Genomic DNA, 19,292 nt, shown 5'->3' on the forward strand with positions numbered 1-19,292 from the left:
ATACACACACACATATATATATACAGAAAAAACATGGTGTTTTGTTAGTATTAAAATGTTTCCTCAAGTCAAAGTATAGCATTTGCTTTTCAGTTCAATCAAAGGAAACAGTAAGACCATTTTGGTGACTACAAAATGTAAACTACTAATTAAGAGATACAGGTCCAAGTTACAGCCTCTTGTTAATCACCGTCATCCTCCAGGAAATTCACAGTAAGCCTTTGCAGACCCACAGCGGTGCTTCCGGTTAAAAGCCAGTGTGGAATACATGTCTCAAGCTTCCCTGATGTTATTTCTGTACCTGTCAAACTAGCAACTTATTTAAATATCTGATACAACCTCCGAGATTCAACCTCATAAACTTTCTCTGGTCACATCCTCGCTCCCTCCTTCCCTGGGGCTCTGAGGGCATTTTTTGCCTTTACGCCGTTGCATCTTGTCCATCCCTTTACAAATGCTGAGCTCCCAGAGGCAAGACTGTTTCACTGATATCTGTGCAGCAGCCTTATAGTAGACTGTCTTCATCCATCCTGGCAGCTGTAACAAAATACCATAAACTGGGCAGTGTCTAAACAGCAGAAATTTATTTCTCACAGTTCCAGAGGGTGGGAAGCCCAAGGCCAAGGCAACTCGGTGTCTGGTGAGGGCGTGCTATCTCGCTGCGTCCTCACATGGTGGAAGGGGCAAGGGAGCTCTCTTGGGCCTTTTTTATTAAAACCCTAATCCTATTCAGAGGCCTCCACCCTCGTGATTTAATCATACCCTAAGGCCCGACCCCCTAACACTGTCACCTTGTGGGTAAGGATTTCAACAGAGGAATCTAGGAGGGACACAAACATTCAAACCATAGCCCAGACTATGTGTAGCTGACGCTGTGCCAGATTGCGATATTCACTTTGTGGGTTCAGGGGACAAGAAGACCCAGTGAAAGCTTGTAGGGACCTTAGGGACCAAAGCCAGTGACAGTGTCAGCCCCCCGCCCCCAACGACTTCATCCACACCTCTGCTCACAGATGCCTCCCTGGCACCCTCTCAAAGGCCCCACCCTAATTGCTCTCTAGCCCTCATCCTGCTCCTCCATCCTATTTCCTGCTCTTCATCCTGTTTTCTCTCTTGCACGTTTCACTCCTGCCATTGATTTTTCTGTGTATGTTTTCAGATGCCCATCTTCTCCACTGGCGTGTAGTTCAGTGAGTATAGGAACTTTGTTTGACCCACCACTTTGATCCTGACATCTAGTGCAAGAGCTGTGGCATAGTGTCCTCCATAAATTAGCATTTTTAAATGGATGAATAAAAGCTGCACTACCATACTATACTTTGGGGCCAATGCAGACCTAGGTTAGGGTCATAATCTTACTCTAGAACTTCCTGGAAAATAAGTTAATACACATGCCATTTTTAGGTTACAATGAAAGCTGCTTCTCATATTGTGAGTAGCCAAAATATTCTTTAAGACATTATTTTTTTTGCCCTCGTTTATAAAAGCCTGCTCACAAGACCTGGAACTGTGAACACTGATTTAATTTTTTAAACAGAAATGTTGTAAACAATGAAAGAGAATCAAAAACAATTAAAATAATGCAATATGCAGTTTGACCCAGGAGTTTGATGCTGTGGTGAACTATGATGGCACCACTGTACTCCAGCCTGGGTGACAGAGCAAGATCCTAACTGTAAAATAATAATAACCATAATGCAATATGCAATTTTACACCCTATACTTAATGCACAGTAAATGGGTCTGAATGAATTTTCAAAGTGAATACATAGACCTTATTGGCAACTTTATATGTGTCTTCTCTATTACTTCAGAGGGAAGTACTGGTGCCTGCGGATAAAGTTTTAGGGAGACAGATTTCAACTTAACATAAAGAAAAAGTCACTAAAGTCCTAACCATCATTGTATGGATCTCATCGTGTGTAATATATGGACATACGGTGAAGGTGGACATGCCAAACTCTCGTCCCAGGAGTTCTCCAGGCAGAAACTAGAGGACCAGTGATAGGCACATTTGTGTAGGATCCCTTTTTGGATTATTTTGGACTCGATGGACTAAGGTCCTTGCCAGTTTAAGAGTCTGTGATTGTTCTTCTCTGATACTGACTCAATAGAGCAACTTCAGGGCCCATTGCAGCACCCAGGCAGATCCGGCACCTTCTCCAAAGATCCTTCTCTCTGCTCCATGCAGTGGTGCTGATGGTAATAATAAAAAACCGAATGCATGGAGAGATACTGAAGTGCATCCTGAATAATCATCAAAATTCATTGCATGTATGAAGTCAAAATTTCTATTTGCAAACTTTGTTGAATTACCCATTTTGAAAAGTTGATCTTTGTCAGTCCCTCAAGACAAAGTCAATTCCATTCTTCTCCTTAGTGGCTATTGGTGAAAAGTCTGTTTCTTAGTTGTAGATCAGGAAACAGTGCTGCTTGACTAGAGGATTCCTCGCCTTACACAAAGACTGCTGACACATTTTGGTCAACAGTAAAATACCTATTCATCTCTTCCACCCATATTTCAAAAGTAGATAACTTATTCCTTAAGGAATGTTTTTGTTGTTGTTGTTGTTGTTTTGTTTGTTTGTTTGTTTGTTTGTTTTGAGACAGAGTTTCACTTTTGTTGCCTAGGCTGGAGTGCAGTGGCGAGACCTCGGCTCACTGCAACCTCTGCCTCCCGGGTTCAAGCGATTCTCCTGCCTCAGCCTCCCAAGTAGCTGGGATTACAGGCATGTGCCACCACACCCAGCTAATTTTGTATTTTTAGTAGAGACAGGGTTTCACCGTGTTGGCCAGGCTGGTCTCAAACTCCTGACCTCAGGTGATCCACCTGCCTCAGCCTCCCAGAGTGCTGGGATTACAGGTGGGAGCCACCGTGCCCATCCAGGAATGTTATCTTAATGCTTAGTAAAATGAATTAGAAGAGGTGGGAAGTATCTACTAGCTCCTAACAAAAGTTTTTACTTTAGCTATGAAGACATAAAAAGAATCAGTCCCAAACTTAATTATTGATGCTAATGAGGAGGAAAAAGATGAGAGAAAATCAGCTGCTTCCCTGGCTGTGCATTTCTGCTTCAGCAATTCCTTGTTGTTTAAGAGAAAGGTGGCAAACGCAGGTGCCCACTGCAGCCAGAAAGGAATGGAAATGAGTGAACCCCTCTTTGTGTCATATAACGGAGGCCACTGGAGAGAACCCCCGGTCTCTGACAGGAACCGTTGTGACTCAGCTCTGGTCAGTCATTGCCATTCAGAAATTGTTAGATTGCCAGTTCTTCCAGTATTTCAGCAGAAGTACTAAATCCATATTTCCATATAAAAATATGATTTTTAAATGTTGACAACCCATTACAATTTGAAAAATATTTCTTTTGGCGAAATGAAACACCTGCAGGCCACATCTGGTCCGCAGGTGACCAGTGAGTGGTGTTCACTTGAATCAATATACCAGATGGCCAAAGAGGACTTCTTCCTGTTTCTCAGCCTTGCTTACAAGCTACTCACTTGGTCATTAAGAAATCACCAAAGCTTATGTAGCCAGAGGGAGCCATAACAGAAGTGGATGTGCTTAAGTGTCAAGGATCCAACCTGGACACTCAGAAATCCACAATACTTTTTAAACTGCTCTGTATGTAAGACTATTTTAAATCTACCTGTACTGAATTCTGAGCTATGCAACAGAGTTGAGTAAGACAGCGTTCATAGTAATACATTTCTCCCACTTCAGCACGCATAAATTGTCTTCCAAGAAAAGGGATATTTGTCACTTATTCTACCAGCTGTCAGTCAGTCTTCCCTTGATGTTCTGGGAAGCTCTTTGGCACCTCAGTGCCTTCGTCACCGACGTGAGCATCTGTCCATGTGAGGAAAAGAGAATGCTGCCACGACAGGGGTTGTGGTGACTGTTGAATCTGCTTTTGCTGCCTCAGTGTTGAGGAAGCCAGGGCCCAGGACTTGCGCATGGCTAGTTAAGAGTGGGGTCAGGACTGCTTCCCGTGCCCCAACTGCCACACTGCTGTTTCTCCAATGTCATTCTTCTCATTCATATTCTGGTTAATTCAGTAGCTGGTCACTGAGGCTTTCTGTGCTTGGCACACAGCACGTGGAGAAGGAACAGGAAACAAACCTGCAACATTCCCTAAGGGAAAGGTAGAAAACAAAGATCAGGGTCACACATTTATTCTCACAAGGCCTGTTGGTTTCATGAGCACCAGTTTTATAGCTTCTCAAACCAGGGCTAGCTCACATCTAGGTGAGAAGGTAGCAGATGGTGGTTCCAGCCACTCATCCCACCACACAGAAACTTATATCCTAGTGAGTAACTGCAGAGGAATCAGTCCAGAAGGGAATTACTTCACCCTACGTTTCACAAACGCAAACCCATGATCATTACAAGAATGGGAGCTGCAACTAATCATAAGGATTGTGAGCAGTTCCAATCCTGCACATTCCGAGTTTGGCACAGTGTATGAGTTTAATAAATATTTGAAGCCTTCAAATAGGAACAAAGAGTTTTATGGACACAAAATATGTCTTAAGTAACTGTTGAGAAAAGAAATGTTGGCTTAGCTTTAGATAAAGTCTCTGTCTTCCTATACCACTCTTTATCTTCTAGACATTAAATTGGGTGTATATTCTTGGTCAATATCCCATATTAAAAATGTACTCCCTGAAAATATTAGCATGGGTGACATTTTCCTTTGTAATCCTGATTCCTTGGCCAGTTTCCTTGTTATCTTCCCAACTGTCTCCTAGCTGAATTGTTCAGTGGTTATTATTTTACGGACTCATGGAGATTCACAAGGAGGAAGATGTCCATTTCTCCACCAACACCCAAAGGCTTCTTGAGAACCTCCCAGTGATGAAAATCGAGAGGGTTTCTATGTGCTAGAGCTACAAATCAAACATGGAACAACAACCTTCTCCTCGGCACTGTTGTCCAACAGCAACGACAAAGCCTAAATAGGGCAGAGAAGGGAGAGATTCGAAAAATGAATTAGAAAAATCTCCTTACAAAGTGCTTTCTTCAGGAAATGTGGGACCAAAGAGGCCTGCAGCTTTTTCTCTTAATGGAGATAAAGTAGGATCATCCATGTGCTTAAAATAGTCACATGCAGAGAAAAATGAGCAGAGACGTCTGGCTAAATGTTACATCTGCTTTCACTTTCATTAATTTTCTTGCCCAGAAGAAGGTATTAGTTAATGTTAGACAGCTGTCGAATGATACACCACTTTAAACACATTTTTAAAGCCACTATTTCATAGTTTGTAGCTGTAAGTCCATCAGAGTGAGACAACATGAACATGAATATGGAGAACCTAGAAACACAACATAGCATCTATCATAGTAGACATCATCTCCTAGCACATAGTTTAAGCTACGTTGACAAGAAGTGTCTGAAGTTTTTATTACTTGCTTCTACTTAGAATGGTAATATAAACTATTTTTAAATCAGATGTTACGGGCATATGAGATACATAATCTACACTGAAATCCACCCCCTCCCAGACACACACACACACACACACACACACTTGAAGACACCCACTGGATTTTGAACATCTCAATCAGCTCTTCCCCATTCTCATCCTCTTTCTTATCTGTTTCTTTTCCCTCTTCCTCCTCCCCTTTTCCTCCCTTCCCCTTCCCTTCCCTTCTTTATTCTTCTGACCAATTCAGTCTCAAAGCCTTTAGCTGGGTGAAGACAGGTGGGCATCTGCACAGAGAAGTAGCCCCGCATGGGCTGCCTGAGCTCAAGCCAGGAGGTGGAGGCATCTGCCCGCCTGGGAGCACCTGGGCTGTGGAGTCAGCCCTGGGCAGGAAGAGAGGGCGTCTGCGCAGAGGGGCAGCCTGTCGTGGGAAATCAGAGCCTAAGAGTAAGGGATGCGTCTCTTGGAAAGGATGGCCCACTGGGGGTGTTTAAGCCCAAGCAGAGTGAGGAGGGGGTGTCTCCCAGAAAGGACGGCTGGCAGGGGGGTGGTGTCGCAGCCCAAGCAGAGTGAGGAGGGGGTGTCTCCCAGAAAGGACGGCTGGCGGGGGGGGGGTGGTGTCGGAGCCCAAGTGGAGTGAGGAGGGGGTGTCTCCCAGAAAGGATGTCCTGTGGGGGGGTGTCAGATCCCAAGCGGAGTGAGGAGAAGGTGTCTGCAAGGAGAGGTAGCAGCGATGGTGATGAAAATGTCTTAGACTCAGGAGCTAGATCAAGTAAGAACAGTAAAGAAGATGAAAACCCAGTTTCTCCCTGTTGGGGATGGAAGTCACACATATGGGGAGGTGGAAACTGGAGGCACACCTGCGTGGTGCTGGACTGGAACTGGGGGGAGTGGAGTGAGTCCCTGTCTTTCTAAACGCAGCGCTGAACTTTCAGCTGAATCTTCCTGGGACTATTTGCAGAACTCGAATGGGGTGTGAAGATTAGCCTGTAGGAGTGCGCCTGTGTGAATTTCCTGAATGTAACGGTAATGCTGTGGTTCTGGAGGAGAACGCCTTATTCGTGGGAGATACACAGCCCCAAGAGCATTTGGGGAAGATGGGGCATCAGCTCAGGGATTCCTTCTCAAATGCTTCAGGGGGCAAAGTCCTTTGCCCTGTACTTGCAGCTTTCCTTAAGTTTGAAGTTGCTGTAAAATCTTTTTTTTTTAATTAGATAAAATTTTACAAAAATGAATAAACTGTGTGCCTGGCAAAGGAATTGAGCGTGAAGGTCACTAGCTTCAGGTTGGAAAGTGCTCTTCCCTGTCACCAAGCGTGCAGCCACCGGCAAATGACAAAGTCTTGTTCTCAAAAACTTAAAAAGTTTTCTAAAGAAATAGCTGCTAAAGAAAATGAGAAGCCAGATAGAAAAGGCATTGCCTAGTTTATTCTTCTCCATTTGAGACATTTTCATCTTCTCTAATATATTCCAGCGGGCTACATTAAACACCTAAGCAGATAGAATGTGTACATGTTCTAGTAATCGGTATATTTATTTCATGAAGGTCATTATGCTAGAGTATGATCATTATAGTTCAGGCACAAAATCTAACCATGTTTCCCCTGGGCTCTGACCCATGCAGATGTCAGTATGCCTCCACAAGGACCATCTTCCAGGTAAACAGGTTACACTTAGCTCAGCTTTAAGATGGCCATAAATCTTAAAATCGTGGCATACTGACTTTTGTTTCAGAGTCAACTCTCAGTAGCCTACACACCTCAGAATTTGTTTTTTAGTTTTTCAGCCCTACTTTCAATTATTTACAGTGCCCTGAACATCAAATACAGTCTCGGTCTCGTACCTTTGTAAGTCATGCTATCATCAATAATGCAGATAATTGTATTTTGAAATGCCTAATTATAATTCACATTTATATTTATATTATTCAAACACCCAATGCATTTGCCACATGCTAGACAATAAGAAAAACAGACCAAGAGGCTGAGCGCAGTGGCTCATGCCTGTAATCCCAACACTCTGGGAGGCCGAGGCAGGTGGATCGCTTGAGCTCAAGAGTTTGAGACCAGCCTGGGCAACATGGCAAAACCATGTCTCTACAAAAAATACAAAAATTAGCTGGCCATGGTGTCATGCACCCATAGTCCCAGCTGCTTGAGAGGCTGAGGCAGAAGGATTGCTTGAACCTGGGAGGTCGAGGCTGCAGTGAGCTGTGATTGTGCCACTGCAAGCCAGCCTAGGCAACACAGTGAGACCCTATAAGAAAGAAAAAGGAAAGGAGAGAAGAGGGGGAGAGGAGGAGAGGAGGAGAGGAGGAGAGGGGAGGGGAATGGTGGGGAGGGGAGGGAGGAGGGAGGGAAGAAGGACAGAAGGAGGGAAGGAAGGAAGGAAGGAAAATGGAGAGAGGGAGGAAGGGAAAAAGAGAAGAAAAACAGACCAAGATATTAGCAGGAAAGGGACTGAATTTCCAAGCAAATTGGGAGTCAGTGCAAGAGTAATATCGGCTCAATGGCCAACAACAATTAGATGGTTTTCAGCAGATGGGGGCTAGCTGGCATCATACGCAAGAGCATCAGTCTCAGCCAGATGGGAACTTTGAGGTTCCTGTGATTAGCTTGGTAATTCTAAGAGGAACTGCAGACCACTTGCCATAGGTAAGATGCTTCCTCCATCCTGCTCAAAGCCCTCCCACCCTTCACCACCACCAAACACCATCTCTGCTCCTCATGTGGAATCTAGGGCCCTCCACAATTGAAAGTCAGCCTTCCAGAAGTGCCTCCTGTGATGCTGGTGCACAGACCCCTGGGCCCTTTCTGTTTGCTGTTCAAGTCTCGAGACTGCCTGTGCCCTCCCGCAGCTGTGCTCTTGCCGCTGCCGTTCTCACCACCCGATAGCTCCTTCCCAGACTTTCAGGCCGTCAAAATCCTCACCTTCCTTTAAAATTCTCTGGTTCACATCAGCTTTGTAAGTATATCCTGAGCAAGTATTAAGTGATCTTGATGATTTTTTTGAGTCTTCCAGCTATGCCTTTGAACACGTTTTCCTGTCTCTATCTTTTTCATCTTGAAAATCCACATTCGCTGCTGCCTTTTTTCTGATCACCTGTTCGGTCCTTACCTCCTTTCCATCTGGCTTCCTCTGTCTATCGATTGCTCTCACAAGGTCTCTGCTCAGCCACTAATTGCCACAAGTTCCAGGAAGAGGCAGAGCCGGGGCCAGGCCAGGAGGCAGAAGCCACTCGGGGGACTGGGGGGCCATGCCGGGGGCAGTTTGGTCCAACAAAGAAGCGCTTGAAGGAAAATAATGGAAAATCAGTTCTGAAAGGTAGATTGAGATAAGTAGAGCTGTATAAACGTTGTGACATAGATAATTGTGAATAATATTCCACTGTCTAGCCCTAGAACAATTTGACTGTCCAGTGGAAAAACCTTACCAGCAAGGTGGTTTCTTGAAGAAAAGGAAGTTTGCCACACAGAAAGCTCCAACTGGTTCTAAGCAAAGGGTAGCACCTGCACCAAGTATCAGGGCATGAACCTGCCTCCTGGGTTGTCCCGGCCTTAATCGTACTTCATTTTGATCAGATGGCTTGCAGGGTTGCTGCTCACAGCCTATTTCTACTATCTATACGTCCACATTTGAAAGCCACCTCCAAGCACACACCGTGCACGCCCTGTGGAGAGGAAGCATTTGCATTTCTACCCCTCAGATAACTGCTGCTGCCCAGTTCATGTTTCAAGTATGAGTTCCTTCATTCTATCACCAGGCTTAAGATCCCTTTGGTAGATGAACTGGATGTTTACATCCATTATTGCTGGACAGCCACAGAACCGATTCTCGCAGCATGGCTGTAGTTGTGAACCTTCTCCAGGATTCTCTACCACGGACTCTGTTCTTGCCTCTCACCGTCCACGCCCAGGTGACCGTGTCATCCCCACGGTGAGTGGGTGCCCTCCTTCACCCTCAGAAGCCACCCTGCCCCAACGTCAGCCCTGCCTTAGAAAAAGGACCACAGACCTCTCCATCTGGAAAGACAAAGAGACCACACAGGATGAATCCACACCAATCCACGACCAGTCGTCCACTGTGGAGAGCTCTCCAGGCCACCTGCCACCAAGGGCTTTCAATAGCAGTCAGGAGCCAGATGCATGAGGCTCGGAGTGGCTTTGATGAGATCTTCAATCACCGGTTGACCACACAGGCCACAGTGCTGTGGTAGAGACCCTCCCTACTCCAGGGGCCACTGATGTAGGGTTACCTAGAATTTAGGCAGAGCTGGGTAGAAATTTAAAAAGGGGAAAAAAAACTCTTTATTGCAAAAGTTTTAGAAAGGGAGGCTGCTGAAAGGATGTTGATTCTTCTTAAGAAAACTTTCTGCACATCATCTTTGCATTTTTGTGCTAATTTCTACTGCAATTTATTTTCTCATCCCAGCAAGTAGCAATTTCAGGTGACGTGACAGTTTATGAATGTTACAAACATTATTTCTTTTTAAAAAAAATCTCTTGAAATCAGACTTGGCAATCCAGATACATTTTCCCATTCAGTATGAGTGGGAGCATTTTATTAGCCATAATCAAGTTTTCCTTTTCATGACAAGAAAGCTTACAGAGACCTGGGAACCACTCATATACCACGGGGTTTCTTTGCAATTCATGTAACTGAGGAATCAAACCCACATCTGCGCCTCCTCTGGCCTTACTTATTGTCAGAAAGTTCCTCTCTTGTCCTGTCAGTTAGAGCACCAGTAGGAACTGAGCTGTGTATAGTCAGCTGCTAGCTTGAGATTCTGACAAATCTTTACAAAAATACATAGGCTTCTATGGCCCTCTCCTTCATCACAAGTTAAACCCACATGAAATAATGTATTATGAGACTTTGCAAAGAAGAATGCAATTCATCTTACTGAGAAAGCAAAACCCTGCCAGGTTGATTTCTTTCTCAGTAGCTTCGTGACAATTTCAAGGAAGCCACTGTACCAGCACTTCATTTCCCTAAAACAGGTTATGACTCTTCTTTCCCTCATGCGTTCGGCTCAGTTCCTGAGTGGCTGCCGTATGCCAGGCAACGAACTGGGTGCTTGAGATCGATGCTTTTGAGGGGCTTGTGTTGGAGGGAGAGAGAGGTACTCAGGAGGACTGTCCTTCACTGTGACAATGCTGGGACAGAGACATGCTCTGGGGCCTGGAGGACCCAAGGAATTCCACATCCATGTGCCAGGGACTTTGTTGGAACCAACGATAAGTATGCATTTGCATGAAGAGGCATCGTGCTAGACCTGGGGAGTGACAGACACACATGAAGTCTCTACCCAACAACCGATCATGGGGTCATACCATTGGGAGCCTGGAAGCTGCTGGAAGCCCAGGAGCTCACCATCTCCCTTCCCAGTAGCAAAGCCACCACCCATTTTACAGATGAGAATATTAAGACACTCGTTACGTCTCACGCGAGGGCACACAGCTGATCAGGAGCTGAGCCCACACAAGAGCCAGAGTTCCTCCCACATCCGCACACCCCAGGGCCTGTGAACAGCGCTCTGCCCTCTCCTGTGCACAGGGAAACACCAACATTTTTGCTGACACAGTCCCAGAAATCTCCTCCACAGACCTAAGTGTGTTGAACCCTAGTGACGTCCTAGACACAAGAGGGCACTGCAGTACTGCACATTTGTGCTTCTCCTCGCAGGACCGTGATGGGTTCTGCAAGTGACTGGTAACTTCCCAGGGAATGGTGTTGCCTCCAACATGTAAACCACACACCACATCGCCACTGCCACAACTGACAATGTCAAGACTACCCTGTGGGGACACAGAGAATCGAGCCCTCCAGTTCGAGAAGTCTTTCTTTGGGACCCAATATTTGGCAGATGCCAGGCAGAATGCTGAGTTTGTGGAGATGAGGACAGAGGCCCTGCCCTCAAGTAGCCTGAAGTCTAGGAAAATGAATCCCATTGGGAAACCAGTCAAGGGACCCAAGCTTGGGGAAGGGACTAGCACGTGCTGAGACCTCTGCTAAGTGGAGGCATCTCACTCACGCCATGCAAGCAGCCTGGGCTCCGATGCACACAGGAGCAGTGCAGAAGAGTGAGGGTCCCGGGGTCCCAGTGCCCTGCCAGCATATTGTCGTAGAGACAGGCACACACAGCCAGCAGGAGGACAGTCAAAGGCAGAGGATGGGATGGCAAGGTGTTTAAGAAAGACCATAAGGGCTGTAGGAAGCCAAGAAAAGGAGTGTTTGGTAACTGGTAAAAATGGGGTGTGGGGAGGAAAAGGCAGACAACCCCTCATCGAGAAGGAGCAAGAAGTGACTTCTGTGTGCCTTGGCTGCCTCATCTACAAATTTGGGATAGTAGTACCAGCCTTGTACGGCTGACGAAGTGTAAATTATTTATTATCTGAAACACTCAGAGCAGGACCTGTTGCTGGTAGACGGTGGTGATGCTGGAGGGGATGCTGACATTGATGCTGATGTCATCCGTCATTGTAGCTCCGACTCTGACTCCGTATCTCAGAGGTGGGGGGCTCTGGTCATTTGCACCAATTTCCTGTCATATGGGGAGAATTCACCTCTTGTTTCCGATGCCTGGCAACATAAATTCACATAGCCACCAGTTAATAGCAGCTGATGAGTTTCCATTCTGTGCAAAAAATTACACTAAAATGACCAAAGATTCTCATAGACAAAGGAAATTTAAGGACAAAGGAAAATTATGTGGACAAAGGAGTTTTATTTTCTTTCTGGGTACAAGAGTTGGTGGTGGCCTTAGCAGAACTGGATATGGAAGGCCTGGGCTAGGCCTGGATGGTCCCGGGGCTGCACGGATGTAGCTCATCTTCACGCAGACAAGAATAAGGACGCCTGTCCTCTGAGTACTCACTGCCCAGTGAGGTCATCAGCACCGTTTCCAAACAGAAACAAGATGAAGAAACAACTCAATGATGAGTTGTGCCTTGCCAGGGTGGGCGGACACTCAGCCTCCCCTAGCTCATAAGCTAGCATCTGTCTCTGTCTCCCTAGAAATCCCAGCTGCCACTGAGGAATATTTACACTATTAACAACAGCTCCCAGCCGGGTGCAGTGGCTCACTCCTGTAATCCCAGCACTTTGGGAGGCCGAGGCAGGCGGATCCCCTTAAGTCAGGAGTTCAAGACCAGCCTAGCCAACATGGTGAAACCTCGTCTCTACTAAATACAAAAAAAAAAAAAAATTAGCCAGTTGTGGTGGTGCGTGCCTGTAATCCCAGCTACTCAGGAGGCTGAGGCAGGGGAATCACTTGAACCCAGGAGGCGGAGGTTGCAGTGAGCTGAGACCATGCCATTGCACTCCAGCCTGGGTGACAAAAGCAAAACTCCATCTCAAAGAAAAACAAAAACAAAAACAAAAACAAAAAAAACCAGCTCCCATTTATTTCGCTCTAATAATGGCCAAGAACTGCAAAGAGCATCTATGTCACTTACCTTTTAGAAACGACACTATTGTTCACATTTCACATGTGAGAAGAGGGAGACTCGGAGACTAGGGTTGCACGGTGGTGAGCAGAAGCGCTAAAGCGTAAAGTGCAAGACCTTCACTAGACCCTGCCTCTTCCGCTGCTGTGGGATCGTGATGTTCACGGCAAAGAAGTAAAGTTGAATGTATTCATTGCAGAAATGATTATCATTTGTGGGCCAGCGACTGGAAGAGCCCCTTTTCTCTTGATGTGATTTGGGGCCAGTTGTCTACGGTCTGAGAAAGACTCTAGGAGACACTGCCGCAGGGCACCCCTGCCCTGCAAAGGTTTGTTGTGATAGTGACTGCTTCTGTGCCGTATTTCGCTGGCTTGGGGGTGTCTGAAAATACAGTCTAAGTATGATATGTAAGGGAAAGGGAGAATGAGAATGACTTAGACGTATAGGGTCAGTGTGCACCAAATGGAGCTCTTCTGACATCACCTTAGAGCAGTGGACCCTAAGACCTACCTCTAGCTCCCTTTTGTGACTTATTTCCCCACAAAATGTGTTAAAGTCCTAATGCCCAGGAAATAGGATCATTGTAGATGTAACTAATTAAAGTGAGGCCATACTGGAGTAGGATGGACCCCGGATCTGATACGAGGGGTGGCCTTCCAAGAAGAGGAGAAGAGACAGACACGGGAGGCAGACGCTGCTGTGCGACGTCAGAGGCAGGGAAAGGAAGGACAAGCCGCGGACTGATGGCCCCCACCAGAAGCTGAAAGAGCTGCCGCCCTGCCCCCACCTTCATCTCGGACTTCTGGCCTCCAGACCTGTGAGACAATCTATTTCTGTTGTTTTAAGCTGCCCGGTCTGTGGGACCTTGTTAGGACAGCCTTAGGAAACTGATCCAGTCCCCAGGTACCTACTCCTCCAAATCCTTCTTCAACCACCTACAATCCTCTCTGACTTAAGGCCAGCTGACAAGGAGCTTGCTTTAAATCACTACCTTGGAGCAGTGGACCCCAAAGTGTTTTGGTGGCTGGATTTTGTTAGAGACACACATTCTCAGGCCCCAATCACAAACCCATGGAGTCAGAAACACAGGGCTGGTGCCCACCCGTGTCCACTTTAACAAGCCATCCGGGTGATTCAGATGCAGTTCAGAGGCTGAGAGCCCAGAGTGTACAAAATGCCCATTCTTTGCTTCCAAGACACACTTTTCCTATTTTCATTTTCTGAAATCAGAATGCCTCTTAGGCAATCTCTGTAAAATCTTATGATTAATAAATCAGTGGTTCATCTTACAGCTGGGGGTGTCTCAGAATCAATGAAAAGGAAGGAATACAACCTCCACCTGATATGCCTGTGAGTGCTGCTTTGTTTAAGAAAGCGGCTTCTGATGGTGGAAAGGATTCCTGTGATTTTAAAGCGGTTTGTGTCCCAGCAGTGGGCCCTGTAATGAGCACCTCAGGCACACTATGACCTTCAGGAATGTTCCTCCGAGGCTCCCAAACCTTCCGCTCATTTCTGATGCACCAAAGCTGGCCTGAGGCCTAATCTCTGGGTCCCACTTCTGTTTAATTACCGCGAGCCTTGTTTCTGCTGCCTGCCTGCCCGCCGCCTGCCGCCCGGCTTTCAGAAGCATCTCTGGTTCTGGAGGCTTCACTTCGAAGATGCAGCCCCTTGCATGGAGGGGAGGCCCCTGGCTGGGGGAAATATGCATTTGGTCGACGTGTTTTCTTCTCTCTCTTCTGCCAGTATTTTCTTCTGAAGCACACAGCACTGCCTCACCCATGCCCAACCCACCTGGGGAGCTGAGCCTCCAGATAAAAATAGTGTGCAGTTTGGAGGCTGGTGTTTTTGAGATCGAACAGCTGTTCTGTCGCACTTTCACAACACGGTTATTAAAGCAGGAGAGAAGTAATTAAAATTGTCACTTGTGCGGCTGTTCGAATTATATTTCCACTTCCTCTCCACAGAGCATTCATTATGTGTTACAAAAATATTTCATTGTGGTGTTTTACATCATTAATTTTGTTTAAATTATTCTTAATTGCTCACTGACATGACAAAAAATGAGGAGGAAATTGGGAGGAAGAGATTTTATTTTAACAACAAAAAAACTGGAAAGGGTGAATTTTATTTATTTTGATTTTGATTTCACCTCTTTTCGAGATGAGTTTCGCTCTTGTCACCCAGGCTGGAGTGCAATGGCGTGACCTAAGCTCACTGAAACGTCCACCTCCCCAGTTCAAGTGATCCTCCTGCCTCAGCCTCCCAAGTAGCTGGGATTACAGGTGCCTGCCACCACGCCCAGCTAATTTTTGTATTTTTAGTAGAGACAGGGTTTCATCATGTTGGCCAGGCTGGTCTCGAACTCCTGACCTCAGGCGATCTGCCAGCCTCGGCCTCCCAAAGTGCTGGGATTACAGGAGTGAGCCACTGCACCCAGCCTGAATTTTAGTAATGAGTCCTGGGCTGGTGTGGGCATGTCTGTGGCCAACATGCACGTACACATGCACTCACACATGTGTGCTTATTCACACACCTGCATGCACACACACACATGCATGCAGGCACATTCACACATGCATGCACACACATGCACACAAACACATGCATACACAGATGCATGCATGCATAACGCACATTCACACATGCACACACATGCACACACACACGCATGCATAAGGCACATTCACACATGCACACACATGCACACGCATGCAGGCACATTCACATGCATGCACACATGCACACAAACACATGCACACACATGCATAACATGCACACATGCACACATGCATGCATACAGGCACATTCACACATGCACGCACACATGCATACATGCATGTTCACACGTGTATGCATACAGACACATTCACGTGCATGCACGCACACACACGTGGGATGTGCATTTGGGATGGGCTGGAATTGAGCGCCCAGGAGCCACAGTTCATCCCACTGCTGAGCCAGCTCTGGGGGTGGGGGCAGGTAGAGTGTGGGTACCAGCATGGGAGTATTTTTCTGTCCCTGGGCCAGTGACAGAATTTGTGGCAATTTCTGGTGGGCGAGGCGCTCTTCCTTGTTACTTTTTCCTCAGTTGGTCTTGTATAGTGTGGCCCTTTATCTTCTGAAAGAATGAGACTTTGTGTTCCGCTTTCAACTTAAACCTGACAAAATCTCTGTATTTCTTTCACTTCCACAGCTGGTATGGAGGGAAAACTAAACCACGTTTACTCTATTAGTATGAGTATCATTGCTCATTTCTTTCCTTTCCCCAGTATTGGTGAGGTTTTCTAGAACAATGATTAGCCAAGACCCAACATCTGTGTTCATTTCTTTTTTCTCACTTCCTTTTCTATCATTTCCATTTCAAAGCAAAGAAAATAAGACTCTTATATTCACATTCCCCCAAGCGATCTTACATTTTTTTAAAAATTGTTCATTTAGTTTAAAAACTGAGTAGGCAGCGTCTCCACTTGCAGGGCACTCCAGGGACCCAGCAGCCACGTTAGGATGCTTCTCGGGTCCTGAGGTTTGGTTGGTGGCACTCCGTGTTCACGAGGACAGGAATACAAGGAGAAAACAGTAAGCATAATGACAGCAGTAAAATAATTCTTAAATAATTCATGGAACTAAGAGCTTCCAGCTAGACGATGTCAGGAATGTTTTTAGATTCACAGAATGTTAGAGCAGAAAGAAGTTCCAAGATCCGCTAATCCAAATGTTTTCAAACTTGTTTTAAGCCACAGAGCCCCTTCTTCAAAAGGAAACTTACTGGGAAGCCCAATATGGAAATAGCGGCTTCTCAAGAGACTCTGGGGACTCGCTTTGAAGATCTCTGATCGGGTTCCATTGCCACATTTTGCAGATTAAAGAAATGTGGGGCCAAAAAGGTTAAGTAATAAGAAAAGTCTGCTTGCAGGAAATAAAAACAAATTGCACCAAGAGCCACCGTGGAATAGCACAGAACGTGTACGTGGCTTATGTAAGTAGGTATTTGCAGGGGCTTCTGTGCAAGATGCCCAGGACCGCAGCGGGATGCCTTCGGGAGCAGAGATGGGATGGAAAAGCCGGGCAGACTCTGGAAGGCAGCCAGGGTGCTGGCCCCTAAGGACGCACGTGCAAGACCGGATAACGGGAGGCTTTGTGTGTGCACCTGGAGAACAGAGGTGCCTCCTTATAAGTGACCTCCCTGGACTTTAAACATCTCACAAAATGTGGAGCCAGTTCTCAGGACAACAGCACATCTGGTTGGCCGGTGGGTCCCTCGAGGAAAAGAGGATGGAAGACTGGCGCGCAGGAATGCCAGTGGCTCATACCTAAGAACAAGTGTTAAGAACAGACCAGTTTTCATCGTGAACAGGGTTTCAGTAAAAGAATACTCCTGTTGTTGGGGCTTCTTATCTTTCTTGAAGGGTCTTCCACTAACCCTCACCAACCAACCATCTCACCATATGCCCATTCGTCCACAGAGCCCCAGGCAACAGAGTGAATGGATGTTAATAGCTCCTTGATTAAATAGTAATAAGAACAAGAAATACAGATAAGAATGCAAATAATAACAATACTAGACACACCTACTGAAGGGTTAGGAGGGCATGGCACATTCTAAGCATTTGATGTGTGTTACTATGTGATGCTCAGAACAGCTCTTTAAGATGAGTGGTGGTATCATTCCCATTTCACATATGAAGAAACTACAGAGCAGCTGATTCAAGTAACTTGCCCAAGTCTACTGAGCTAGCTAGTGGTGCAGCCAACACTGAACACTCAGGTTTACTTTTACTTTGTGATAAAGACATAGACTCACACAGGGAGCAAACGGAGCCCAGTGGAGCCCAGTAGAGGACTGAGTCTGTGGCCAAAGTGCCTGGCTTCCAGTGCTGGCGTTACCACTTACAGTTCTGTGCCTGTTTATTCCTCTGTGAAATGGGGACGTAGCGCCTCTTGCCTGGGGCTACGTTAAGGAATGAATGAGTTTGTGCATGTAATGCACTGGGACACTGTGGACATGATCAGCGGGGCGGGATTGTTAACCGTTGTTGTTGCCATTACTGTTATTACGGTGGTGCCACAGAGGAGGGAGGAGGCAGAGAGCCATCACAGAGAAGATGCTGGGGCTGAATCTTGAACACTATGTAGAGGTTTAGCAGGAAGACTGGGAGGGAAGAGCGGGTGCTCAGGCAAAGAACAGCACAGCCCCCACGCAGGAACGAGGAGTCCAGAATGCTGGGCCACAGTGTGTGATAGGTCAGGTCTACAGAGGTCTTGTATTTCACGTCAAGAGTTTAAACCTAAGCCTCTGGACAGTGGAAATAACTGGAGGTCCCAGTCAGAGGAGTGCCACATCACAACTCTTTGTAAACCCTCGGGCAGGAGAGTGGGGGACAGCGCTGAGGACATTAGCATGGAGATGGGAGGTATTTAGCAGGCACAGTGAGAGGAACTAATGAGGAATCAAGGGTGGAGGTTAAGAGAGGCCAGAGCGTGGAACGACTTCCATTCAAAAAACGGGGTTTGCTTGCGCTACATCCTCGAGTCCAAAAAGAAAAGCAGGTGATTTTGTATCACAGGTAGCGCCCACCAAGTGTCTGAAGCTTTATGGGTCAGCCCACCTGGTCATCCCCATTGCTTGCAGGTAGTGACATCTCCCACCTTACAGATAGCTGAGAATGGAAGTCGCTACCCTCAGGACACACACCCAGCAGGTGGCCATGGCGAGGTGCCACCCACATTCCTCCATTCTGCTGTCACACGGTGGACCAACCATCAGGGGCTAAAGAGGAGGATGGGCAGCAACCTCAGCCTGCATGCAGACTGAGGAATCCACAGGAAGCGGAAGCCTTTCCAGTCTCCTCCTCACTACAGTGACCTGTCCCGTGTCCAGGTCTGATCAGATGTGAAAGCAAAGATGGACTCCCATGTACTCCATGCTCACTCTGTTGATGAAAAGGAGCCTGAGTTTCCCAACACACCATAATTTGTACACGCAAGCGTTGTCTCGGGAAGCTGAGCATTTATTCCCATGATGAGCATGTGCTCGGAAGTTTTTAGATTTCCTCTTGTAAAACTGTTTTTACGTTCCAGACTCATACGGAATATACAACTTTTTACTTCTTAGTATGCTTAACTGCTGGCAGCGTTACCTAAACATGAATTTTATCATACCTTCATTACCAAACTTCATTTCAATGATCTTGTGCACTTTTTCAAAAGCAAAGCTAACCTCTAACACAGGTAGCTGGCGATTTAGAGGCTATTCTAGAGAATGCGCCGCCAACTCTGAACTGACTCTGCCAAGTGTTCACCTTCCCAGGGAATGTGCACCACCCGCGAGTTATCCACCCATTCATCCTATCGGCGACTGTCAATTGGCGACTTGCTGTTAACGAGTCAATGTACGTTTTCCTAGGTGGGATGCAAAGTT

General features: G+C 46.4%; 1 protein-coding gene and 1 long non-coding RNA gene across 13 annotated transcripts in view; one reads left to right on the forward strand and one right to left on the reverse strand.

The window, feature by feature from the left end:
* The window catches only part of DPP6 (dipeptidyl peptidase like 6), a 1,146,153-nt gene that overhangs the window by 1,073,561 nt on the left and 53,300 nt on the right, over positions 1–19,292 (forward strand). The window lies entirely within an intron of this gene.
* LOC105375580 (uncharacterized) overlaps positions 4,054–19,292 on the reverse strand; it is a 41,837-nt gene continuing 26,598 nt past the window's right edge. The window contains exons 3-4 of the long non-coding RNA XR_928190.3: positions 11,842–12,008; positions 4,054–4,135 (exon numbers count right to left, since the gene is read on the reverse strand). This is a non-coding gene — a long non-coding RNA (uncharacterized LOC105375580). The remainder of the gene's footprint in view (positions 4,136–11,841; positions 12,009–19,292) is intronic.

This window comes from Homo sapiens, chromosome 7, assembly GCF_000001405.40.
Source record: "Homo sapiens chromosome 7, GRCh38.p14 Primary Assembly".
Lineage (NCBI taxonomy): Eukaryota > Metazoa > Chordata > Mammalia > Primates > Hominidae > Homo > Homo sapiens.